At 46.3% G+C, this 24,889-nt stretch overlaps 1 protein-coding gene and 1 long non-coding RNA gene across 27 annotated transcripts in view, besides 5 other annotated features; one reads left to right on the top strand and one right to left on the bottom strand.

Annotated features, from left to right (window-relative positions):
• Positions 1-24,889, top strand: part of CAMTA1 (calmodulin binding transcription activator 1) — a 984,253-nt gene that overhangs the window by 589,582 nt on the left and 369,782 nt on the right. The window lies entirely within an intron of this gene.
• Positions 3,407-4,033: an enhancer, noted in NCBI's record as "H3K4me1 hESC enhancer chr1:7438503-7439129 (GRCh37/hg19 assembly coordinates)". NCBI's record gives its function as "activates a minimal SCP1, AML or CMV promoter by ChIP-STARR-seq in primed H9 embryonic stem cells {active_cell/tissue: H9 hESC(primed)}" and the evidence as "EXISTENCE:reporter gene assay evidence [ECO:0000049][PMID:30033119]".
• Positions 4,034-4,659: an enhancer, noted in NCBI's record as "H3K27ac-H3K4me1 hESC enhancer chr1:7439130-7439755 (GRCh37/hg19 assembly coordinates)". NCBI's record gives its function as "activates a minimal SCP1, AML or CMV promoter by ChIP-STARR-seq in primed H9 embryonic stem cells {active_cell/tissue: H9 hESC(primed)}" and the evidence as "EXISTENCE:reporter gene assay evidence [ECO:0000049][PMID:30033119]".
• Positions 4,660-5,286: an enhancer, noted in NCBI's record as "H3K27ac-H3K4me1 hESC enhancer chr1:7439756-7440382 (GRCh37/hg19 assembly coordinates)". NCBI's record gives its function as "activates a minimal SCP1, AML or CMV promoter by ChIP-STARR-seq in primed H9 embryonic stem cells {active_cell/tissue: H9 hESC(primed)}" and the evidence as "EXISTENCE:reporter gene assay evidence [ECO:0000049][PMID:30033119]".
• Positions 5,287-5,911: an enhancer, noted in NCBI's record as "H3K27ac-H3K4me1 hESC enhancer chr1:7440383-7441007 (GRCh37/hg19 assembly coordinates)". NCBI's record gives its function as "activates a minimal SCP1, AML or CMV promoter by ChIP-STARR-seq in naive H9 embryonic stem cells {active_cell/tissue: H9 hESC(naive)}" and the evidence as "EXISTENCE:reporter gene assay evidence [ECO:0000049][PMID:30033119]".
• CAMTA1-AS2 (CAMTA1 antisense RNA 2) lies at positions 7,452-14,719 on the bottom strand. 3 transcript variants are annotated; one of them, NR_146199.1, is made up of 3 exons: positions 14,624-14,719; positions 14,305-14,404; positions 7,452-7,688 (listed from the first exon to the last, which is right to left on the bottom strand). It is a non-coding gene; the product is annotated as a CAMTA1 antisense RNA 2 (long non-coding RNA). The 3 variants fall into 3 exon arrangements; NR_146201.1 differs by lacking the exon at positions 7,452-7,688 and adding an exon at positions 13,148-13,402; NR_146200.1 differs by lacking the exon at positions 7,452-7,688 and adding an exon at positions 13,148-13,458.
• Positions 13,094-13,631: an enhancer, noted in NCBI's record as "H3K4me1 hESC enhancer chr1:7448189-7448726 (GRCh37/hg19 assembly coordinates)". NCBI's record gives its function as "activates a minimal SCP1, AML or CMV promoter by ChIP-STARR-seq in naive H9 embryonic stem cells {active_cell/tissue: H9 hESC(naive)}" and the evidence as "EXISTENCE:reporter gene assay evidence [ECO:0000049][PMID:30033119]".

Raw genomic sequence — 24,889 nt, forward strand, 5'->3', positions numbered from 1 at the left:
AGATAGCCACCAGCCCAGCCAGGTCAGACCCAGAGATGAAACACTGTTTCGTTTCTTCCCTGCATCCCCTGGGGTTGTCTGCAGGGTGCTTGCAGGGCTCCTTGGTAGAGCTACTTTTTCCTAGAAGGTTCTAGAAGCAGAGGATGAATGAATCTGTGGCTGGGTCCTTTGTGTTGGGGCATTAGGAGTTGAGATGAGCTTCTGGGAGATAGGGCACCGTGGGGCACATTTTAGAGAGGACGCCAGTGCATGCAGGGCCATTGTCCTCAGCTTCCAACCAAATAACAAGGATTACCCAACCCAGCCCCTGACCCGAAACCACCATTGGCCACACCCTAGAGACTCCAGTGGGGCCCTTGAATCACCTCACCAGGCAGGAGCAAAATCCTGTTTCAAAGAGTAATTGTTGCTATGGCAACTGGCCTTATGCACTCACCTGGTTGCCACTGGGGGACTGAGGCGGACGCACATGGTGTGTTGGCAGAGAAAGGAAAAAATGCCAGCCCTGGGACCAACACCCGTGGGGACAGGCAAGGGAGTTGAGGTGTTCAGCCATCAAAACCCATCTTCCCGTCTGGAGCAGCAACAGGCCGGGCCTTCCCCTGTGCAGGCTGGCACCACTGATTAGGGGACCTGTGTCCCCATGGTTACCCAGGCTGGAGGATGGCAGTAAATACTGGGGCCTCGATTCCAGGCAAGAGATGTTAGACTCAGGTTTGTTTGTGAATGTGAGAATTGGATATTTCCTACCATAAAGGCCTTTCCATTAATTAATGCAAACATTAAAGCTTTATAGAGCTGGCTTCTTCTAAGTCACCCTTTGTCAACAGAGACAGGGTGGACAGAAGGGGGCAGGGAGAGGTACCCTGTAGGACAGGAAGCAGCGGACTGGGGCAAGGGCCACTCTGCTCTTCCCAGGTGGGGCCCTTCCTATCAGGAGGCAGGCCTACCAAGGGGTCTCCCAGCTGCCTCACCAGCTCGCTTCCCTCAGACTAAGAGCCCCTGAGTCCTCAGTTTTTAAAACACTAATAGGGAGGCCAAATAAATATTTCAAGGTCACCTAAGGGCTCCCTTGGGTCTTGTTTATTTATAGCATCCTGGCCACCTCCATCTAGAAATGTTTCAAAGTGCAGAAGTATGAATAGTAAGAAGGCAGCTCTTCATTTATTTATTTGGTTATGAATGTATTTATTTTCGCTGTCTCTGCCAACTCGAAGGGCCTGGGCATAACTGGCCAGCACATGGCCCTGCTCTGGCCCTTGGCATCTGCCTGCTTGCTCAGGGAGCATCTAAGTGGAACTCTGCATTGCATTTAGTCCTCAGCTGCAAAAAGGAAGCTAGTTAGCTCCAGGGGGCTCGCGAGGAGACTGTACCTGCCACCACACATACACGTGAGCCAAGGTGTGCTGTCATCCTGGAGACCCTGGCCCAATTCCCTGGAGCATCTATGGAGACAGAGTATAAGCAGTGCCTAATTTAGTGAGTCCAGCAGTGTGGACGTTCCATACCAGTGAACTCATGCAGCAGAAGGGGTCAGTATTAGCTGGGCTTCATTGTCCTCCCTCTATTCCTGGATGATACCGCCCTCCTAAGAGGTAAGTGTCATCACACCCATTTCATACTAGAGACTGGAAGAGATCAAAATTGTAGCCCCAGGTTGTGAACATGGAGGATGGTGGAGCTAGGACTTGAACCTGGCTCTGTCCGACGTCTTCCCCTGTCTCAACACTGGTGTCTCTTTTGCCCTGGAGATGGAAGCCAATGGTACTGTCTGCCCAGGATTGGTTAACATTTGTCCCCAGCCCTTGCCTATGTGAGCAAAATGACCTCTCAGATAGGCTGCTCCCTGGGAGCTAGTCTGTCCTCAGCCTGTGTCCAAAGGCTCTAATGGATGAGATCACAGACCGGATCACAGATTCGGATCTGTCTGGAAGTGCTGGACCCCTGCTGCATGTCCATTCTGAAAAGTGCTCTGCCCAGGCAAGATGGCACTCAAGCTCCACTCTACATTAATTTAATTAATACAATTAATTTAGACCAAATCTAGTCTGTCCAACCCAGTCCCAACACATAGGGAGCACTCGCCTGACCGAGGGCTGAGGGGCCCCCTTCACCTCTCTACCCCAGGAGAGACCTGACCACCTCCCAGAGTTCATTCATTCAAGCATTTACTAGGGACTTAAAAAGCGCAAGGCACTGGGAATACAGCAGCAATTAACACCGTCCTCGCTATGGGGAGACAGACAAGTAATAAATGTGTAAGAGCAGCAGTGAAAAGGCCAGGTGTAGAGGGGACCTCTGGCATGGCTCAACCAAGAGTCCGGCCCTGTCCTGCGATTCTTTCAATGCCTCCCTCCTCCTTACTGTTCTCTATTCTCAGGCCGACTTCCCTGTGTTAGTAAAATGACTGTAGTCATCTCAGGCCCCAGATATTCTCCACTGTCCTAAAGAAGAGAGAACCTCTCTTTTCCCAACCATTGGGTAAAAAGTCCGAGGTTTCGCTCTGGATCTGTTTAGGTCCTCTGACCTCCTGAACCAATCACTGCAGCTAGTGGATACAATTCATTTAGACTAAGGATTGACAAACTATGGCCCATGAACCAAATCCAGTCCACCATCTGCTTTTAAAAATAAAGGTTTTTGAGGAGGCCGAGGCAGGTGATCATTTGAGGTCAGGAGTTCGAGACCAGCCTGGCCAACATGGTGAAACCCTGTCTCTACTAAAAATGCAAAAATTAGCCGAGTGATAGTGGTGTGCACCTGTAATCCCAGCTACAGGGGAGGCTGAGGCAAGGGAATCGCTTGAACCCGGGAGGCAGAGGTTGCAATGAGCTGAGACTGTACCACTGCACTCCAGTCTGGGTGACAGAGTGAGAGCCTGTCTCAAAAAAATAATAATTAAAAAAATAAAGTTTTATTGGAACCCCTCCATGCACATTTGTTTACATATTGTGTGGCTTTTCCAAGACTATGGCGGAATCAAGAAGGCGCCATAGAGACAGTATTGCCTAGAAAGCCAAAAAGATGTACAGAAAAGGCCTTTTACAGAACAAGTTCGCAAACCCCTCACTCAGACACATCTGAGTCTGTCCTGGGAGATGGTGTTAGAGGAAATTCTCCCAATTGTAGTGAGCTTTACATAAGTGCTGGAGGGCAGTTGATCTATGCACTGTAGCACCTGCTATTCCTGTAGCCATTCAGCCAAAGAAGCCTGACGGCCTTGTATGTAACTAACTGTGTGCTCTGCCAGAGAGATCCTAGCTTCAGAGAGAGAGAGGAAGCCGTGTTACATAATCAGAGTAGCCAAAAGCAAGAAGCAACCCAAAAGTCCCTCCACAGAGGAATAAACAAAATGTGCTCTATCCATACGATGGAATAATATTCACCCATAAACAGGAATGAAGTATGAACCCACGCTACCACCAGGATGAACCTGAGGACGTATTGCTGAGTGAAAGAAGTCAGTCGCAGCAGGCCGCACATGGTGTGTTTCATTTATGTGAACGTCCAGGCAAATCCACAGACACAGAAAGCGGGTGGGTGGTTGCCTGGGGCCGGGGGCAGGGAGGAGTGGGGAGGGGCTGCTTCAGGAGAATGGGGTTTCCTTTCAGGGTGATGAAATGTTTTAGAACTAGACAGTGGTGATGGTTACACAGCTGAGAACATCCTAACATCCACTGACCTGTACACTTTAAAATGGTGAATTTTATGATATGTGAATTTTACTTCAATTAAAAAAAAATCGGAGACCGAGTCAGAGGCCGCACTAAACTATGGGGCTGGTGGGGGATGAGGCCTGTGGGCCCAGCAGGTGCATTTAAAGTGGGGACCCAGGGGCCAGGGCTTCCTGGGAGGGACTTTATTCCAGCTTTTCCTTAGCTCATATCTTGCACCGGCTCCTCGAGGCACCCCATCCCCATCCCCACTCTGTCTCTGACTTGCCTGGGTGGCCTGACAGTGGCCTGTGCGCCTCAGGGTGGCACCTGCAGGCACCCTCCTCCCTGGCTTTCTTGAGCACCTGATGGTGAAATGCCACCATGCATGACAGAGTCTATAAATTTGCCTGCAGGTCTGGCATTTATGTTTGGCACCTTTGTAAAAATATTATTTCCCATTGCTACCCAGTTTTTATAATGTCAATATACTAAGATCTACCTCTCAGTATTACAATTTATACACAATGCTGCTTTCTTTATACCCTAGAGCACATGTGTTTTTCTAACTTAGCTTTCAAAAATAGTTGATTTTCAAAGAGATGTCGCAGGAGACTTGCTGTTGGCAGTGAAATAAGTTTTTTTATTGTGGTCTGGAGCAAAATATGTGATGGAATCCTTAATTGAAATTCACCTTTAACATTCAAGTTATATTTTTATTACAATTTGAATCCATTGTGAGGGATCGTTATCTGCAGAGATTCATTTCCTTCGGGAAGTTTCTTCTTTGGTGATGTAATTTAAATTCAGGGAGCCGGGAAAAAACACCAGCGTCTCGTATTTCAAACCGCTGGCAGAAAAGGCTGCTGGTGTCAGTGCCCAGGAAACCGTAAAACAAAGCACTTTCTCTGTCTATGGATTGTCTTCCTGTTGCGTCCTCATCGGGGCATTCTGGGGCTTGTCTGAGCTTCTTAACCAGCAGAATTCCCTAGAAGGCAAGGGCAGTGGCCGTCTGAACTGGCAGGCAGCATTAAAAGGGGACTGAACTCCTTCACTGTCTTTGTTTCTGACACCTCGCTTTGATCTCTTGGCCTCCCGATGCCTCTCCTTGCCTCTTCCTCCTAAGGACAGCTTTCCTTGTGTTCTCATTTTCCAAACAACACACATCAGCGAACCGACAAAGCCTGTCTGCGTGCGTCTGCCTTGCGCCATGGAGCAGAGACTTGAGGCTGCGGCCAGGCAGAAACAGGACTGCCAAGTGAGCGGTGGAGAAAAAGGGCTGTTCTTAATCAGTAGTCATCACTTTGTGGAGGATAATGGCAATTTAATTAATTGCCCAATGCCAGTGCTGAAGACAGGGTCTGCAGGAACATTGCTAGAATTTGAGGAAATTATTACAAATTGTGCATTCAACTCTTAGGATGAATACCAAATCCAGACATCATATGTTTTAACATACCTATTATTTATATGCAAATCTGGCTCTTCAAAGAGGATTTCCCAGGAGCCCATGGGGTTAGTTTTCCTGTAGGCTCAGAAAGTGACTGTCCATTTGCCCGGCACGTCCCTCTCCTCTGGTATCCCAAGGAAGGTTGCCCAGTTAAGTCCGGGTCCGGTGGCTCACGCCTCTAATTCCAGCACTTTGGGAGGCTGAGGCAGGTGAATCACCTGTGGTCGGGAGTTTGAGACCAGCCTGACCAACATGGAGAAACCCCGTCTCTACTAAAAATACAAAATTAGCCAGGCGTGGTAGCGCATGCCTGTAATCCCAGCTACTCTGGAGGCTGAGGCAGGAGAACTGCTTGAACCCAGGACATGGCGGTTGCAGTGAGCCGAGATCATGCTGTTGCACTCCAGCCTGGGCAACAAGAGCGAAACTCTGTCTCAAAAAAAAGAAAAGAAAAGAAGGTTGCCCAGTTGGATCAGATTTCACCACTTCTGGCCACTCTTCCTCTTTAGGGCCTAGTTCCATCAGGTCTTAGTAAGAATGTGGCATAAATACAGTATTGGTAGAAATAGTTTGAAGAGTCTTTCTGGAGCCAAGATAACAAACAGTCCTCCCTTCTGATGCCAGGCAGGGTTAGGCACTTTGGGCTCTATGAAAACTACCTTGCCTGGTCCACCCAGCTGATCTGATCATTCTGGATTGCTAAGCAAAGCTGTCAGGGTGGCACATGCTTGTGAACAGCAGCAGCAGTGGCCACGGGACAATGAGAGCAGTGGCTAGTTGGAATTTATTGAGCACTCACTCTGAGCCAGACTCTGTGCCAAGGGTTTTATCATAATGCCCTAAGGTCATGCAAGGATGGCAAAGATAAGCTGCTTTCTAAAGAAAGTGGTTAGGAAAATGTGCTCTGGAGTCAGACAGGCTGTATTAAGATAGGTTCAGCTGCAAGTGACCGAAAACATCATAATAGCGGTGACTTAAATAAGACGGTTTGATTTTTCTTTTTTTTATTTTTTATTTATTTATTTATTATTATACTTTAAGTTTTAGGGTACATGTGCACATTGTGCAGGTTAGTTACATACGTATACATGTGCCATGCTGGTGTGCTGCACCCACTAACTCGTCATCTAGCATTAGGTATATCTCCCAATGCTATCCCTCCCCCCTCCCCCAACCCCACAACAGTCCCCAGAGTGTGATGTTCCCCTTCCTGTGTCCATGTGTTCTCATTGTTCAATTCCCACCTATGAGTGAGAATATGCGGTGTTCGGTTTTTTGTTCTTGCAATAGTTTACTGAGAATGATGATTTCCAATTTCATCCATGTCCCTACAAAGGACATGAACTCATCATTTTTTATGGCTGCATAGTATTCCATGGGGTATATGTGCCACATTTTCTTAATCCAGTCTATCATTGTTGGACATTTGGGTTGGTTCCAAGTCTTTGCTATTGTGAATAGTGCCGCAATAAACACATGTGTGCATGTGTCTTTATAGCAGCATGATTTATAGTCCTTTGGGTATATACCCAGTAATGGGATGGCTGGGTCAAATGGTATTTCTAGTTCTAGATCCCTGAGGAATCGCCACACTGACTTCCACAATGGTTGAACTAGTTTACAGTCCCACCAACAGTGTAAAAGTGTTCCTATTTCTCCACATCCTCTCCAGCACCTGTTGTTTCCTGACTTTTTAATGATCGCCATTCTAACTGGTGTGAGATGGTATCTCATTGTGGTTTTGATTTGCATTTCTCTGATGGCCAGTGATGGTGATTTTTCTACCTGGGAAACGATTGGTTAGAGGGTTGAGAACTGGCTGGGCAACTGGTTGCTCATTAGAGTCCCAGCCTCCAATAATGCAGTACCACTGTCCTCAATAGATAGCCTTCACCTCATGGCACAAAATAGCTGCTTGAGTTCAAGCCATAGTGCCTGCATTCCAGCCAGCAGGAAAGGAGAGAACAACGCTTTTGCCTGTATCCTACTGGCCAGAATGCAATTGCAGTCACATCTAACTACAGAGGAGGGTAGGAAATGTAGGCTTCACTCTGAGTGTCCACATGCCCAGCTAAATTTGGGGATTCTAATACTTAAGGAAGAGAAAGCTGGGCAAAGGGAAACAGATAGCTATCTCTGCCATAGAGTTAGATGCAAAGTTAGTTGTTTTCCTTGGGTGAATTGGGATATGTCTTCTGGATATCATTTCCTTATCTATGAAATCAGGTAAATCTGGTACTTGGAGAGGATGTGCGCTAATTGCTCTGTGATGCTTAGCGTAGTACCAGATGTAAACATGGGCCAGAAGGATGGAAGGCGTTGCCATCATTCCCCAGGACAGGCACAGCCCCTGGTTCTTCCATCTGAGGCCAGCCTCTAGTACTAGCTATGGGGAATTGGCAAGCCAATTAATTTATTCTACACTTCATAGTTTAAATACTCTGCCACATTTGAATTCCGTAATAAGCCAGTGTGATTGGTGTTCTTGCCCCCACTGTAGCAAGGCTGGCCCAAGGACTCAAACCCAGATCCCTCCAATGTGAAATGCGGCGCTCTTTCATTTCTCCATACATTGATGAGCCCTCCTGCAGGCAAAAGAATAAAAGGACAACAATATTTGACATAAAACATTAAGCACATGCCTCTTTGTTGCAGTGATTTCTTAGCCTAGATAGATACTTGCTTCCTAGATGATAGATAGATAGATAGATAGATAGATAGATAGATAGATAGATATTCCTATAGCCTCAAAGGTTGAGTCTAGGAAATTTTGAGAAAATGCTTTCCTTTTGCCAATGAGTTCATTTATTTATACAACCAGTATCTATTTACTGAGCAACTAGTATGTGCCAGGCACTGTGCTAAACACTGGGAATATAATGATGAACAAAACCAGACCATCTCCATGCTTGTGTGGAGCTTAGCGTTCTATGTGGGAAGAAGTAAGATAATCACATGATCATAAAAATCAAGGGCATGCTTGCCTGGAAATTGTACACTGAGACCACATGGAGAGTGTGGGTCGTAACCCTGCAGGGCTTCCTACGCCATCAACACACTAAGACCTTTGCCGCAGAAAAGGAAGAAGGAGGGCCAGGACGGACATTGTTGCCAAATATAAATAGTGAGAAAAGCATTTTATATTCCCTAAGGCTCCTTGACACCCACTGAACATTTCTCTGTGCACTTACTCAGACGCCTAATTATTCATTTACTCCTTCTCACTCATCTAACGTGTGTAGTATAGCAATCTGGAATACAGACTCCGGTGCCAGTTAGATTCAAACCGGTTAAAACCCTGGTCCTGTCTGCCCAGTAACTAACCTTGGACAAGTTAGGTTAACTTCTGTGTGCCTCAGTCTTCTCATCTGTAAAAATGGGCGTAGGATATCTACTTCATAGGGTTGTTGAGAGCATTAAAATGCATTACAACATATAAGGCACTTAGAACAACATAGGGCACAGAGTGAGCTCCATGTAAGTGCTAGCTCAGGATGATGGGGGTGAGGTGATGGTGGTGATCATGGTCATGGTGGTGGTGCTGCTGCTACTGTCGATGCTGTCGAACAAGATGATGGTGATGGTGGTGGTGGTGCTGGTGCTGCTGATGTTGTTGAAGATGATAAGAATGATGATGAGGAGGAGGATGAGGATGATGGAGATGATGATAATTTTGATAAGGAGGATGAGGGTGATGAGGATGATGATCGTGGAGGATTCTTGAGTCCCCACCATGTGCCAATGACACCCTCGGTGCGGGTATGCAGAGAAGAACAGAGAATCTGCCCCCATTTTTCCAGTATAGTGGGAGCAAAGTCCAAAGGTGACCACAGAGCCCCATACATGTAATGGAGCAAAGAAGGGCATGGAACTCCCTTCCCACTGAAACACAGGACGGGACTGGGCTGCCACGCCCTGCTCCAACTCCCAGTGCTAGATCCACCCTGGGAAAGAAAAGGTGGCAGGGGAAAGCTGTGGCTTCTCTTGCAGGAAATACCATGGGAAGGCTTCTGTGCCAGGGATGTGGGAAAAGGGGGAATGGAGCGAAAGATGGCTGTTGGCTCCATTCTGAAAGCACCACCTGCAGCACAATTTGTACTTACTGCTTCTGCCAGAGGTTTGAAAGTGGCCGCAGCTTCACGGTGGCTCAGTGGCTTGGTTCCAGTCCAACTTTCCGGGGCAGCTGGCCTGGTGCAGGAAAGGGGAGCAAGCTGGCCAGGGCCCCCTAAGGCTGCAGACCTCACCTGGATGCTAATCCTGAGTGCCTGGGTAGCTTCTTCATGTCCACTGCCCTGTGGGCCCTATACTGTGTGTGATGATTGATATGAGTCGATGTGTGGGCCTTGGAGGGCCTTTTGTGAATCCGTGGCTAATTTTTTGGCGAACAAGTAGATCAAATGCTTGATATTTCCCTTTTTGTTATTCAAAATTAAAAGAAATTTGTACCTATCAAAGCAGCAAGGACACACATTAGATAAATCAATCTTTGCCATTTTGTCACTCTTAATTTTTTGTTAATTTAATTAGAATAGAGATAGTCAAGTCTAGGTGTGCTAAATCACAGACCATAAAATTCTGTAAATCACTTCAGCATGTAACTGGGTGTGCGTGTGGTTGCTAATTAGGAGGGGCAGAGCTGCGGCTTTGGAGATGAGTTCCTGGCAAGGACCCTGGGTTGGCAAGGAGTGGAAAGACTCCGGGGACATGTCCAACTACCTCTTGGGCCACTGAAGCCTCTGCCTCCCTGTACCCGTCAGCGCCACTGCCCAGGGATGGTTCAGCCAGGCGAGCGTGGGGATGGGCCCAGGACTCACAGCCTCTCCTTTCCTGTGTGAGCTCCCAGGATAGGACATCTCTGCAGGAGGCAGTACTGCACCAGCTGGAAGTTGGACCACCCAGCTTCAGCAGAACAGCCCTCCTATGCCCCCTGCCCATCCTGCTTGCCTGTTCACTATTTTTTTTTTTTTTTGAGACAGAGTCTCGCTCTGTCACCCAGGCTAGAGTGCAGTGGCGTGATCTCGGCTCACTGCAACCTCCGCCTCCCAGGTTCAAACTATTCTCCTGCCTCAGCCTCCTGAGTAGCAGGGACTACAGGCACATGCCACCACTCCCGGCTAAGTTTTTGTATTTTTAGTAGAGACAAGGTTTCACCGTGTTAGCCAGGAGCCTGTTCACTATTAACAGGACACTTGATTTTGCCGGTCAAACCACTGCAGCAATATTTCCAGAACAAATACAGCTGCTTAGACATTTGCTTTTGGCGTTTTACGTTTCAAGTTGAATCTGTTGATTTCGGCCTTGCTGTTTGAATAGCGTCTCTGCAGGTTTATTCTGGGCACTTACATTTCCAAATGTGCAAGTACTGGGCTCGCGGGCCAGTGTTTGAAGTGATGGGAGCCAGACAGGCCAGGGAAGGGCCCTTAGAGGCCACTCCTCACTCACAGGGAGAGCCCCGGGGGGAAGAGTGCTGCCTGGAGAGCAGCAAACACCAGGAAAAAATGAGGCTGCAGAGGCCAGGCCAGCCCCGAGGCCTGTTGGAGACATCTCTACAGCGTGCTCCACCCAGCACGATGCTCCCTGCTTTCCAAAGTGATTCTGGGGTGCCCGCTCCCCAGCACTTTCTCCCAAAGCTCAGCTCTCACCACCCACTGCTAGCCACTCTCTTCCACATTTGGCCTCCCAGCACTGGGCGCCTCTGACGGTCTGATTGAAATCCGAGGCCCTCACTGGCCATTTGGTTGTGTCCAGTGCGGTGCTGAGCTTCGTTCCACATGCAGGAGCCTCACTCACTCGCTCCTTCTGGGCTGTGAGGGCCTCTGGGCACCTGGGTGTTGCGTGTGCCTCCCCCATGCTAAGGGTGCTGCAGAAGCCCACCCTGGCTCCTCCAGGCTCCTCCGCTCCCCCAGAGAATGAAAGGCATTGGCCCCCCAAAGGAAGTCTGGCTTCACAGGGACCATTGTCAGGCAGAGACACATGCGCACAGCCCCAGCCCGCTGGAAGGCCATCTGTTGTCAGAAAGGTTGCGTTTTGAGCCCGTCTTTTCATCTGGGACAAGTTTGTACTGAACTGGCCACATTTGTGCTAAAGACATGGTTCGTAGTCAGCTTCGCAGGCCCAAGAGGCAGAGCTCGGTTAGCATCTTGTGCAGAGTCCCCGTGATGCCCTGACTCATCATGAGCAGCCGCCGTCACCCAGCTGAGCTGTACAGCGAGAGAGAGATGCAGTGTCCGGAAGACTTGGGCCCTCTGGGAGGCTGTAGCCACTCAGTCATCCCTGCCAAGGATGGTGGGACAATGGCAGTGTCAACCTTGCCAAGGGGCTGGGTTTCCAGCCATGGCTGGGCCCTCAGCCTGCTCGGTGGAGCATCTCATCTCCCACCCCACGGTGGATGTTCTTGGCCTTCTCTCTCCAACTAACATCTGCCAAGGCCTCCTCCTACGCAGCGATGCCTCCCTTCCTCCTAAGAAGGCCGTGCACCTTGACGATGGGCAGATGGGGTTGGAGGCCCAGCCCTCCCTTCCCAGCACGTGACCTGCTGCAAGTTACTTGATCCCCACCAGCCTCCACCTCCTCCTTGGTAAAACACAAGTGGCAACAGCTCCTGTTTCCCAAGGCTAAGAAGTCAGTAGGAAAATGCATAAAAAATACTTTCCCGGGTCACTTGGCTCCTTCCTCCCCTCCTAACACCCATACAGGCCACTGAAACTGTTCTGAGAAGTCCCTGTTGCCAAGTCAAGGACTTTGGTTCCATCTCACGGCAGTCTCCGCTGGTGACGTTCAGTGCTGCTGCCTGCTCTTGTTGCCATGGTTTCCATGATGCTACATCTCCGGTCCCTCTTATGTTCCTAACTGTTTGGTTCCCAATCTTCTTTGCTGGCTTGCCCTGAAAGTCAGCAGCCCCTGGAACCCTGCCCTTGGCTTCCTTCTCTTCCTGGGCTCTCTTCCTGGGTCTGTCTCTGGGTGGAACTCACCCATTCCCATGGCTTCAGTCTCCCCCCTCCAACGGGAGACTTCTCTCCCACAAATCCATTACTCCAGACTGGGCTCCTTCCCTTGTGTATGCTGTTGACCCCTCTCATTGAACAGGCTTGGACCCTACCCTGCTTCCTCCCATCCACCAAACACCTCTTCACCACCATTTCCACCACCCAGTGACTGGCTTCTCTCTCCCACCGACATGGCACCACCACACAGCCACCCCAACCAGGAGACCTCACAATCCTAGTTTCTGCTCGCCCTTCACTTCCCAAATCCAATCCCTTATTAAGAAATTCCCATTCTCTTCTCCCATCTGTTTTCCATTTCTGTCCAGGCCAGGCCGTGGGGTCTCTGAGCTTCACGGCTGCAGCTGCCCCTGCCAGCAAGCAGGGTCCCAGCTGCCCTAGACCCCAGCCACTGTCCTGCCAGGGTCCCAGCCTGAGGCTCACCCAGCCCAGGTGCCTCCTGGGGCCTCTCGTGCTTCTCTGCTTTTCTTAAAGCTGGAGGCAGGTTAGCGTCAACTAACACACACAGAGAAAAAGCTGCAAAACAGGTTTTAAAATGTGCACGGTGTAAAAATGATAGTGGGAGTTTGGACACAGATGGGTAGGAGGTTATGACAGGGAAAGAATTTTGCTTAATCTTGGAATGAAAAATACTCTGATCCTGGCAGAGTCCAGTCAGAAGGAATTTCCAGCAAGATCTGTCTTCTTGCCACATTGTCTGCAACACAATTGATCTTTGCTTTGATTGCTTTCCCCTCCCTCCCCCTCACTTGGCTTTTCGCAGATAATGTACAGAAAGCCCCTTTTTGTTGTTGGAGCGGTTTACTGGGGGAGGCCTTCAGAATCAACATCCAGCTCTCCCAGTGTGACCTCCCCCTTCCCCTGCCAAGTCAGAGATGGGCTTTCTTTGTCTGTGACTTGAGATCTTGGAGGGCCTTGGGTTCCAATCTGAGCCCTGTCACTAGCCTTGGGTGGATGATCACTCTAAGGACCAATTTCCTTTTTCATCTGGAAAATGGGGATAGTAGTCCCTTTCTCCGGGGGTCGTTGTGAGAATTAAGTGAAATGACACAGGGCTTTAATGGATGGTGCTGCACCTGTTGTCATGGCCACTGTGGATGTGAGCGGCAGAGCTGCAAACACGCCTTGCTCCTCTGAGGTCAGCCCATGCCGGCTGCCCTTTGGGTGCCAGCCAGGCCGTTGTGCTGCAGGGAAGGGAGGAGAGGAGCCTCTCTTCTGGGTGAGCCAGACAAAAAGGAACCTCTCGTGGCGTTTGTCCCAGCATCCTCTGACCGTGAGCCTTCCGATGTGCCTGCCTGGTATGAACAGAAACGTGGATCCAACCCACACTCCTTCCTGATTTCAAACGTCCCTGTGAATCGGATGGGACGTAGTTAATAGCCCCTGTCTTCCTGGAAGGAAATGTTCAGGGAGGACTGGTGTTGGGAAGCTAGAGGGGAGGCGGCCCGGCCTTGGAGCCCAGCCCTGTTGGTGTTGCTCTCTTTGGCCCTGGTGAACGTCCTGGCCTTGGTCTCCTGAGTCCAGGGGGCCTGGCCAGCAGCCTGCCTTCCTGAGGCCCAAGCCCCTGGTTCTGACTGCTGATGCGCCTCCTGGGAGCGTTCCTGCCCATCTCCACTTGGAGTTACCAGGAACTGAGTTGTTGGTTCTGCTGGCAGCTCCCATCCTGTCCCATGGGGGGTTCAGACACGGAGACCAGTGCTGGAAGGCCCTGAGGCCTCTGAGCCCTCCAGCCAGAGCCAGGGTGTGCCCAGTGCATGCACTGCTGTGTCTGCCTGGGCTGGTCTCCCCACCAGACCGAGCTTCCTGCCGGACTGGGGCAGGGCCCTAACGCTCTGTTGTTACACTCTCCATCCCCGTGCCATTCAGAGCCTCCCAGCACTGAGTAGGCACTGCACGGCGAGAGGGAGGGGGAGGAGGAAGGGAGTCTGGCTCTGTGCCTGTCCCCGGCTGCCTGGCTCTGACTGTCAGAGTCACTCTGCAGCAGCACAGAGCGAGTCCGCTGGGTGCTGTGAGACGACCCTGGAGAGATCCTCCCACCCCCAGCTGTCTCTTCTCTAGCCTGTTGCCCCCAGCTCCATCCCTCCTAACCCTACCCCTTGGCCAGCTCTCTGGGCTCTGGGCTCGGCAGGAGCCTCTTTCCCCCATGGGCTCAGTCAGTGCTCCCCCTGCAGCCCTGCTGGGTCTCCCTGGAGCTCACCATCCGGACTCGGGCTGTGTGGGCACTGGAGTTCTTGATGTCACACACGTCAGCGTGTTCCCTTAGCACTGTGTGAACACGACCCTGTCCCCTGGCCGGCCTGGGAGATGGCAAAAAAGAATGGAGTGGCTCCCTGGCAGGAAGTGCAGGAAGGCAGGGGCACAGCCCCATTGCAGCACCCCTGCCAGCACAGGCCAGCTTCTCCACTGATTTGCCCTTGACTGTTCCCTTAGAAACAGACATGAGTGGCCACAGGCCGAACGAGGCTCCGTGGAGAGAAGTGGGGGCAGGTGGTGGGTGGGTAATTTATCTTACTTACTGTAGGGTGTGGGGGTAGAAAGCCAGGGCTGAAAATCTTGCTTCTCTAGGAGGTGACTAAAGGCCTTCACAGTGGTCTGGACAGGAAAGGGTGGAGTCCAAGCACAGGGTCCCCAGAGGAGTGTGGTGAGGCCGAGGGAGGAGGGACCCAGGCAAGGGAATCTTGGAGGAGAAGGCAGGACAGTTAGCCCAGACTAGGGTGGCCGGGGCAGGCTCTGTGAGGCTGCTGTTGGGGGTCCCGTGGCTGCAGAGAGGTTTGCTTTCCAAGTCAGGGCCACTAGTTTCCCTCGGATGCTATTTGTGTCCCCCGCCTTCCATTGTGATGCTGCACAATAACTTTTACAGCCTGGCCTGGTGCCTGGCCTGCAGCCCTGAATCACTGATTCATCTTTACCTGCCGCTTCCCTGCCGGACGGCTCTGGGTGCAGGAGCCAAGAGCCCGGGCGACGGCGCAGGGCTGGTTCCTTCCCACTTCTGCCCAGTCACTTCCCCACCCTCTGAGGACCCTGGAGAAATTCAGCCAGGGCCTGGGCCTCTAGGAGCTGCCAAGCCTCCCTCTCTTAAGCAAAGCGAGCTTAGGGTTCACAGGGCCAGAGCAAGAGGGTGACACAACCCGCCCAGGGTGCCTGCCTTCTCTAAGCATCTGACACAGCTCAGGGACCTGCTGTCCTCAGGCTCATTCCAGGTGGGTGCCTTGGCCCTGGGCCTCAGACCAGCCTCCCCTCAGAGCTCTATCTGGACCCTTGTGATGGATGCCATTACTTGTCTGACATGTCCCCAAAGGAGCCCGCAGATCCCACTGCCAACGCCAGTACCAGTGCACGGCCCAGGATTGGCCCTGCTGCTTACTACTCCTGAGCCCCTGCAAGTGAGTTCTGCTCTCTGGGCCTCAGTTTCCTCCTGTCTACAACAGGGTCGCTAGTAGTGCCTGTGGCAGTAGGGTTGCTGTTCAGACACCCAGGCTGTGAAAAGTTCCTGGAAGGGACCCCACCCTACAGAAAGCACTCAGTACCAAAGAAAGCCTCATGGGTGTAAATGAATCTGCTCCACTCTGCAAAGAAAAAGAGCACCTCTCCCCCACATGCATTCCTACGGGGCTTGCAGCCCTGGTGCCCTCACTGGCTGCCATTGAGAGCCTGTGCTCTGCACCGCCCGCCAGGTGTGCCAGGGTGACGTGACTCCACACCAAGCACTGGGGGCTGGACTTGTTTAGCCATTTCTCTCAAGATGGCCATTTCTACACTTTCATGAGAAGGAGGCCTCGCCTCCGTTGGAGTGGCTGAGTGGTGCATCCAGCTGGTTCCTGGGACTGGGGACAGGTTTTAGTGCTCCGAGAATCTGGGTTGTTGTTTTTTTTTTTATGGAGTTTTGCTCTTGTTGCCCGGGCTGGAGTGCAGTGACGCGATCTCGGCTCACCGCAACCCCCACCTCCCAGGTTCAAGTGATTCTCCTGCCTCAGCCTCCCGAGTAGCCGGGATTACAGGCATGTGCCACCATGCTGGGCTAATTTTGTATTTTTAGTAGAGATGGGGTTTCTCCATGTTGGTCAGGCTGGTCTCCAACTCCTGACCTCAGGTGATCTGCCCACCTCGGCCTCCCAAAGTGCTGGGATTACAGGCATGAGCTACCACACCCGGCTGTATCTGGATGTTTTATGCATCCCTTTACACAGTGTGTGTGTGTGTGTGTGTGTGTGTGTGTACATCTTCAGCTGATCCTTCAAAGTCTGTGGGTTTTATTGTCATCCCCTTTTTATAGATTAGGAAGCTGCTGCTCAGACGGATTAAATCATTTGGCCCAGGTCATATGGCTAAGGGGCGCTTGGTGTCCCGCACTTCTGGAGATACAATTAACATATGGTAAAAATTCCGACTTTCTGTGGCCATTCTGAGAGCTTTGGCAAATGTATGTGGTTTCCATCAGCTTGGTCCAGTGATCACCACCACAATCAATATGGAGATGGTTTCTATCAGCTCAAAAACTCACTGCACCTCTTTGTCAGATAAGCTGCTCGGCGTACTCCAGCCTCTGGGAATGAATGGCCTGTTTTCAGTCCCTATAGCATTGCCTTTTCCAGAATGTCATATAAATGAAATCATACAGGATGTGGCCTTTTGAGTCTGGCTTCTTTCGCCAGACATAATGATCCTGAGATTTATCCATGTAGTTGCATGTATCAGTACTTCCTTCCTTTTTATGGGTGAGTGGTGTTCCATGGTGTGGATATACAGCAATTTGTTTAACCATTCACCTATTGAAGGATGTCTGGGCTGTTTCCAGTTGACATTACATGCCAAGGACTCTACACATTTGCATACAGGTTTTGGTGTCATCATACATTTTTATTTCTCTTGGGAAAATATATAGAGGTAAGATTGCCAGGTCGTATAGTAAATCTGTTTAACTTAATGAGAAACTACCCAACTGTGTTCCAAAGAGACTACTACTTTGCATTCCCATCAGGAATATATAAGAGTTTTAGTTGGCTGGGCACTGTGGCTCATGCCTGTAATTCCAACACTTTGGGAGGCCAAGGTGAGAGGATTGCTTGAGGCCAGGAGTTTGAGACCCTCCAAACCTCAACATGGTGAGACCCCCATCTTTTTTTTTTTTTTTTGAGTCAGTTTTGCTCTTGTTACCCAGGCTGGAACGCAATGGTGCAATCTCAGCTCACCGCAACCTCCACCTCCCAGGTTCAAGTGATTCTCCTGCCTCAGCCTCAGGAGTAGCTGGGATTACAGGCATGTGCCACCACACCCAGCTGATTTTGTATTTTTAGTAGAGTCCGGGTTTCTCCATGTTGGTCAGGCTGGTCCCGAACTCCCAACCTCAGGTGATCCACCTGCCTTGGCCTCCCAAAGTGCTGGGATTACAGGCATGAGCCACGGCACCCGGCCAAGACCCCCATCTTTACAATTTTTTTTTAATTAGCTGGAGGTGGGCGCAATAGCTCATGCTGTAATCCTAGCATTTTGGGAGGCCAAGGTGGGTGGATTGCCTGAGCTCAGGAGTTCGAGACCAGCCTGGGCAACATGGCAAAACCCGTCTCTACTAAAAATATAAAAAATTAGCCGGGTGTGGTGGCAGGCACCTGTAGTCCCAGCTACTTGGGAGGCTGAGGCATGAGAATTGCTTGAACCCGGAAGGCAGAGATTGCAGTGAGCCGAGATCACGCCACTGAGCTCCAGCCTGGACGACAGAGACTCTGTCTCGATCAATCAATCAATCAATCAATCAATCTATAAGCTGAGTGTGGTGGTTAGTGCACACCTGTAGTCCCAGCTACTTGGGAAGCTGAGGCGAGAGGATCATTTGAGGTCAGGAGTTCGAGGCTGCAGTGAGCTATGATCGCGCCACTGCGTTCCAGCCTGGATGACAGAGTGATACTATATCTCTTAAAAAAAAAAAAAAAGTTTTAGTTGCTCCACATCCTTGCCAGCATTTAGTATTGTTGTTTTTAAAGCTATTCTAATAGGTACATAGTATTTCATCAAGATTTTGGTTTCCATTTCCCTAATGACTGATGTTTTTTCATGTACTTGCTTATATGCCATCTGTATGTTTACTTTAGTGGGGTGTCCAAATTTCTGTGGTCTGTTTTTCATTTTTGTTTTGTTTTGTTTTTGAGGCAGGGTCCTACTCTGTTACCCAGGCTGGAGTGCAGTGGTGTGACCACCAGCTCACTGCAGCCTTGACCTCCTGGGCTCAAGCAATCCTCTAGTCTCAGCCTTTCGAGTAGCTGAGACCACAGGCATGCACCACCACACCCAGCTAATTTTTTATTTATTTTTTCTTTTTTTTGTAGAGATAGGGTCTCCCTATGTTGCCCAGGCTGGTCTCCAACTCCTGGGCTAAAGTGATCCTCCTGTCCCAGCCTTGTTTGTTTTTTCTTTTCTTTTTTTGGCTTTCACATTTAATTGACACAGGATAATTGTACATGTTTATGGGATACAGTGCAATGTTTTGACACATGTATACATTGTGTAATGATCAAATCACAGTATTTAGCATATTTAGCACCTCACACATATACCATTTCTTTGAGGTGAAAACATTTAAAATCCTCTCTTTTAGCTATTTCGAAATATAGAATACAATATTGTTAACCATAGTCTCCCTAGTATGCTATCAAACACTAGAAATTATTCCTTTTATCTAACTGTATTTTTATACTCATTAACCAACCCCTCTTCATCCTCCCTCTCCAGGTTCTGGTAACCACTATTCTACTCTCTACGTCTATGAGATCAACTTCTTAAGATTCCACATATGGATGAGATCATGCAGTGTTTGTCTTTCTGTGCCAGGCTTATTTCACTTAACAAAATGTCCTCTAGGTAGGTTCATCCATGTTGCTACAAATGGCAGGATTTCATTCTTTTTTATGACTGAAGAGTATTCCATTGTGTATATGTACCACATTTTCTTTATACATTCATCTGCTGATGAACACTTAGGTTGATTCTATGTCTTGGCTATTGTGAATAGTGCTGCAATAAACATGGGAGTGCAGATATAATGATTTCGTTTGCTTTGGATGTATATATTCAGTAGTAGGATTGCTGAATCATATGGTAGTTCTATTTTTAATTTTTTGAGGAACTTCCAAAATGTTTTCCATAATGGCTGTACTAATTTACATTCCTACCAAAAGTGTATGAGATTCCCCCTTTCTCCACATTTATGCCAGCTTTTGTTATTTTTTGCCTCTTTGATTAGCCATTCTAATTGGGGTAAGGTGATATCTCATTGTGGTTTTGACTTGCATTTCCCTGATGATTAGTGATGTTGAGCATTTTTAAAATGTACTTGTTGACCATTTGTATGCTGTCTTTTGAGAAATGTCTATTCAGGTTTTTTGCCCACTTTTTAATCAGATTATTTGTTTTCTTGCTACTGAGTTATTTGAGTTCCTTATACATTCTGGATATTAAGCCCTTGTCAGATACACAGTTTGCAAATATTTTCTCCTATTCTGCAGCTTGTCTTTTCACTCTGTTTATTGTTTCCTTTGCTGTGCAGAAGCTTTTTAAATTTGATGTAATCCCATTTGTCTATTGTTCCTTTTGTTGCCTATGCTTTTGAGGTATTATTTTTAAAAAATCCTTACCCAGACCAATATCATGAAGCATTTCCCCTATATTTTCTTGTAGTTGTGTGTGTGTGTGTGTGTGTGTGTGTGTGTCTGTGTGTGTGTCTGTGTGTGTGGTGTTTCTTTTTTTTTCTTTTTTTTTTGTTTTCTGAGATGGAGTTTCGCTCTTCTTGACCAGGCTGCAATGCAGTGGTGCAATCTCAGCTCACTGCAACCTCTGCCTCCTGGGTTCAAGCTATTCTTCTGCCTCAGCGTCCCAAGTAGCCAGGACTACAGGTGTCCGCCACCACGCCTGGTTAACTTTTGTGTTTTTGGTAGAGAAGGGGTTTCACCATGTTGTCCAGGCTGGTCTCAAACTCCTGACCTCGGGTGATCCACCCGCCTCAGCCTCCCAAAGTGCTGGGATTACAGGCGTGAGCCACCGCACCTGGCCTCTTCTAGTAGTTTTATTGTTTCAGTTCTTACATATAAGAATATTTAATCCATTTTGTTTTTTTGTATGGTGAGAGATAGGCTCTAATTTCATTGTTATGCATGTAGATGTCCAGTTTTCCCAGCAAAACTTACTGAAAAGACTGCCCTTTCCCCAGTGTGTATTATTGTTGCCTTTGTTGAAAATTGGTTCCCTGTAAGTACACAGATTTATTTCTGTGTTCTCTATTCTGTTCCATTCGTCTATATGTCTGTGTTTATGGTGGTGCCATGCTGTTTTGATTATTATAGCTTTGTTGTATATTTTGAAGGTAGGTAATGTGATGGACCCTCTGGCTTTATTCATTTTACTCAAAATTGATTTCACTATTCAGAGTCTTTTATGGTTCCATATGAATTTCCTGATTGTTTTATCTGTTTCTATGAACAATGTTATTGGTATTTTGATACAGGTTGCATCAAACCTATAGATTGATTTGGGTAATGTGAACATTTTAACAATATCAATTCTTCCAATCCATGAATATGGGATATCTTTTCATTTATTTGTGTCCTCTTCCATTTCTTATATCAATTTTTTTATAGTTTTCATTGTAGAACTCTGTGACCTCTTTGCTTAAATTTATTACTAGGTACCTTAGTTTTTTGGTAGCTATGGTAAATGGGGTTGTTTCTTGATTTCTTTTTCAGATAATTCACTATTGGCATATAAAAAAACCTCCTGATTTTTATTTCCTACAACTTTACTGAATTCATTTATTAGTTCTAATGGGTCTTTTTTGGTGGAGTCTTTAGGGTTTTCTTTATATAAGATCATGTCATCTGCAAACAGGGATGTTATGGTTTGGATATTTGACCCCTCCAAAGCTCATATTGAAATTTGATATCCACTGTTGGAGATGGGACCTAATGGGAGGTGTTTGGGTCATGCAGGCAGATCCCTCATGAATGACTTGGTGTCATCCTCGCAGTAATGAGGGAATTCGTGTTCTATTAGTTCCCACGATAGCTTGTTCAAAAGAGCCTGGCACATTCCCTCACACCTCTCTCTTGCCTCCTCTCTCATCAAGTGATCTCTGCACACACTGGCTCTCTTTCCTCTTCCACCATGAGTGGAAAAAGCTTGAGGCCCTCACTAGATGCAGATGCTGACACTAAGCTTTTTGTACAGCCTGTAGAGCCATGAGCTAAATAAATCTCTTTTCTTTACAAGTTACCTAGCCTCAGGTATTCCTTTATAGCAATACAAATAGACTAAGACAGGAACAATGTGAGTTTGTATTTTCCAACTTGGTTGCCCTTTATTTCTTTCTCTTGCCTAATTGCACTAGCTAAAACTTCCAGTACTGTTTTGAATAAAAGTGGTAAAAGAGGGCATCATTGTCTTATTCCAGATCTTAGAAGAAAAGCATTTAATTTTTTCCAGTTCAATATGATGTTAGCTGTGTGTTTGTCATATATGACCTTTATTGTGTTGAGGTACATTTCCTGTATATCTGATTTTTAAAGAGTTGTATGATGAAGGGATGTCAAATTTTATCAAATGCTTTTTCTGTGTCTACTGAAGTGATTATATAGTTTTTGTCCTTGATTATGTTAATGTGATGTATCATGCTTATTGACTTGCATATGTTGAACCATCCTTGCATCCCTGGGATGAGTACCACTTGATCATGGTTAATGATCTCTTTAATGTACTGTTGAATTCAGTTTGCTAGTATTTTGTTGAGGACTTTTGCATCTGTTTTCATCATGTAGATTGGCCTGCAGTTTTCTTTTCTGTGTGAGTGTGTTCTTTTCTGGTTTTGGTATCAGGGTAATGCCAGCCTCACAGAATGAGTTTGGAAGAATTCCCTCTTAATTTTTTGGAATCGTTTGGAAAACATTGGTAATAGTTATTTAAATATTTGGTAGAACTCAGCAATGAAGTCATCAGGTCCTGGACTTTTCTTTGATAGGAGATTTTATTATTAATTTAACTCATTACTCATTATTCATTTGTTCCAATTTTCTATTTCTTCATAATTCAATTTTATTAGGTTGTATGTGTTCAGAAATTTTTCCATTTCCTCTAAGTTTTCCAATTTGTTGCCATATAGTTGTTCATAATAGTCTCTTATGATCCTTTGTATTTCTGTGGTATCACCTATAATGTTGCCTTTTCATCTCTGATTTTTTTTAAATTTGAGTTTTCTCTCTTTGTTCCTTAGGTAGTCTAGAGAACAGTTTGTTGATTTTTTTGTATCAATATATCAACAAAACAAAGAAAACCAACCTTTATTTTGTTGATATATTGTATTGGGTTTTGGTCTCTATTTTGTTTATTCCTGCTCTCATCTCTATTTTTTATTGCTATCTACTAATTCTGGGTTTAGCTTGTTCTTGTTTTTCTAGTTCCCTGAAGTGCAATGTTAAATTTTTTTATTTGAGATCTTTCTACTTTTTTGATATAGGCATTTATTGCTATAAACTTCTCTCTTAGAACTTGTATTCCATAGGTTGTGGTATGTTATGTTTCCATTTTTAATTTGTCCCAAGAATTTTGTCATTGATCCATTGGTAATTCATGGGCGTGTTGTTTAATTTTCATGTATTCATATGGCTTCCAAAGTTTCTCCTGTTATTGATTTTTAGTTTTATTCCATTATGATCAGAAAAGATACATGATATTATTTTTATTTAAAAAAACTTTTTGAGACTTGTTTTGTGACCTAAGTAACATATGGCCTATCTTGGAGAAAGTGCCATGTGCTGTAGAGAAGAATGTATATTCTGCAGCTGCTGGATAAAATGTTCTGTAAATGTTTTTTAGGTCCATTTGATCTAGAGTTTAGTTTAAATATAATGTTTCTATGTTGATTTTCAGTCTGGATGATCTGTTCATTGCTGAATGTGGGGCTGGATATTGGAGTCTCCTACTATTATTGTATTGCAATCTATCTCTTCCTTCAGAAGTTAGATATAATAATATTGCTCTCTCTCTCTCTCTCTCTCTCTCTCTCTCTCTCTCTCTATATATATATATATATATATATATATATATATATATATATATATTTGCTTAATATATCTGGGTGCCCCAATGTTGGGTGCATGTGTATTTATAAACATTATATCCTGTGATGAATTGACCACTTTATTATTATATAGCGAGTGTCTTTTTCTCTTTTTACAGCTTTTGATTTAAAGTCTGTTTTATCTGATATAAGTATGGCTACTCCTGCACTCTTTTATTTTCCATTTGCATGGAATATCATTTTCCATCTGCATGGAATATCATTTTCCATCCCTTTACTTTCAGTTTATTAGTGTCCTTACAGGTGAACTGAATCTCTTGTAGGCAGCACATAGTCAAGTTGTGTTTTCTTATCCATTCAGCCACTCTGTATCTTTTACCTGGGAAACTTAATCCATTTACATTGAATTTATTCCATAAGTTGGTGGAATAAATCTATCAATTTATTATTGATAGGTAAGGACTTACTCCTGCCATTTTTAAGTGTTTTTTGGCTCTTTTGTACATCCTGTGTTCCTTTCTTTCTCTCTTATTGTTTACCTTTGAGGTTTGGTGATTTTCTATAATAGTAAGCTTTGATTCCTTTCTCTTTTTCATTTGTGTATCTGCTATAGTTTTTTCCTTTGTAGTTACTACGGGGTTTACATTAACAATCTTAGAGTTATAGTATACTATTTTAAGTTGATAATAACTTATCTTTGGCTACATTTAAATATTCCAGACTTTTACCCTAACCACTCCCCCATTTTTAATTTTGTTGCTTAATTTATATCTTTTTATATTTTGTGTTCCTTAGCAACTTATTTTAGCATAGTTATTGTTGATCATTTTGACTTTTAACCTTCTGCTGTAGTTTGGATATGTTTGTCCCTCAAACCTCATGCTGAAATTTGATCCCCAATGTTGGAAGTAGGACCTAATGGGAGGTGTTTGTATCATGGGGGTGGATCCTTCATGAAAGGTTTGGTTCTGTTCTCATGGTAATGAATGCGTTCTTGCTCTGTTAGTTTCTGTGAGAGTTCCCCCAAGAGCTCATTGTTTAAAATAGCCTGGCACCTTTGCTCTCTCTCTTGCATTTATTTATCACCAAGTGATCTTTGCACATTCCTGCTTCCATTTTCCTTCCTGCCATGAGTGGAAGCAGCCTGTAGCCCTCACCAGAAGCAGATGGTGATGCCATGCTTCTAATACAGCCTGTAGAACCATGAGCTAAATAAACCTCTTTTCTTTATAAGCTACCCAGCCTCAGGTATTCCTTTATAGCAACACAAAAATGGACTAAGGCACCTTCATACTAGAGGTTTGAAAAAGTATGTATCATCATTACAGTAATATAGTATTCTGAATTTGATAACAAATTTATCTGCACCCGTGAGATTATGCTTTCATATGTTTCACAATAGTAATTATTGTTCCTTTACTTCTGGTTGAAGTACTCCCTTAAGTATTTCTTGTGAGGTTGGTCTAGTGGTGATGAATACCCTCAGCTTTGCTTGTCTGGGACAGACTATTTCTCCTTCATTTCTGAAAGATAGTTTTGTTGGGCATAATATTCTAGGCTGGCAGGTTTTTTTTCTTCCAGCACTTTGAATATATTATCCCATTCTCTCCTGGTCTGCAAGGTTTGTGCTGAGAAATCTGCTGATAGTTTAATGGGGATTTTCTTATAATGACTTCATGCTTTTATCTTGCACCTTTTAAAATTCTCTCTGTCTCTGACTTTTGAC

This window comes from Homo sapiens, chromosome 1 (genome assembly GCF_000001405.40).
Source record: "Homo sapiens chromosome 1, GRCh38.p14 Primary Assembly".
In the NCBI taxonomy this organism is placed as follows: Eukaryota; Metazoa; Chordata; class Mammalia; order Primates; family Hominidae; genus Homo; species Homo sapiens.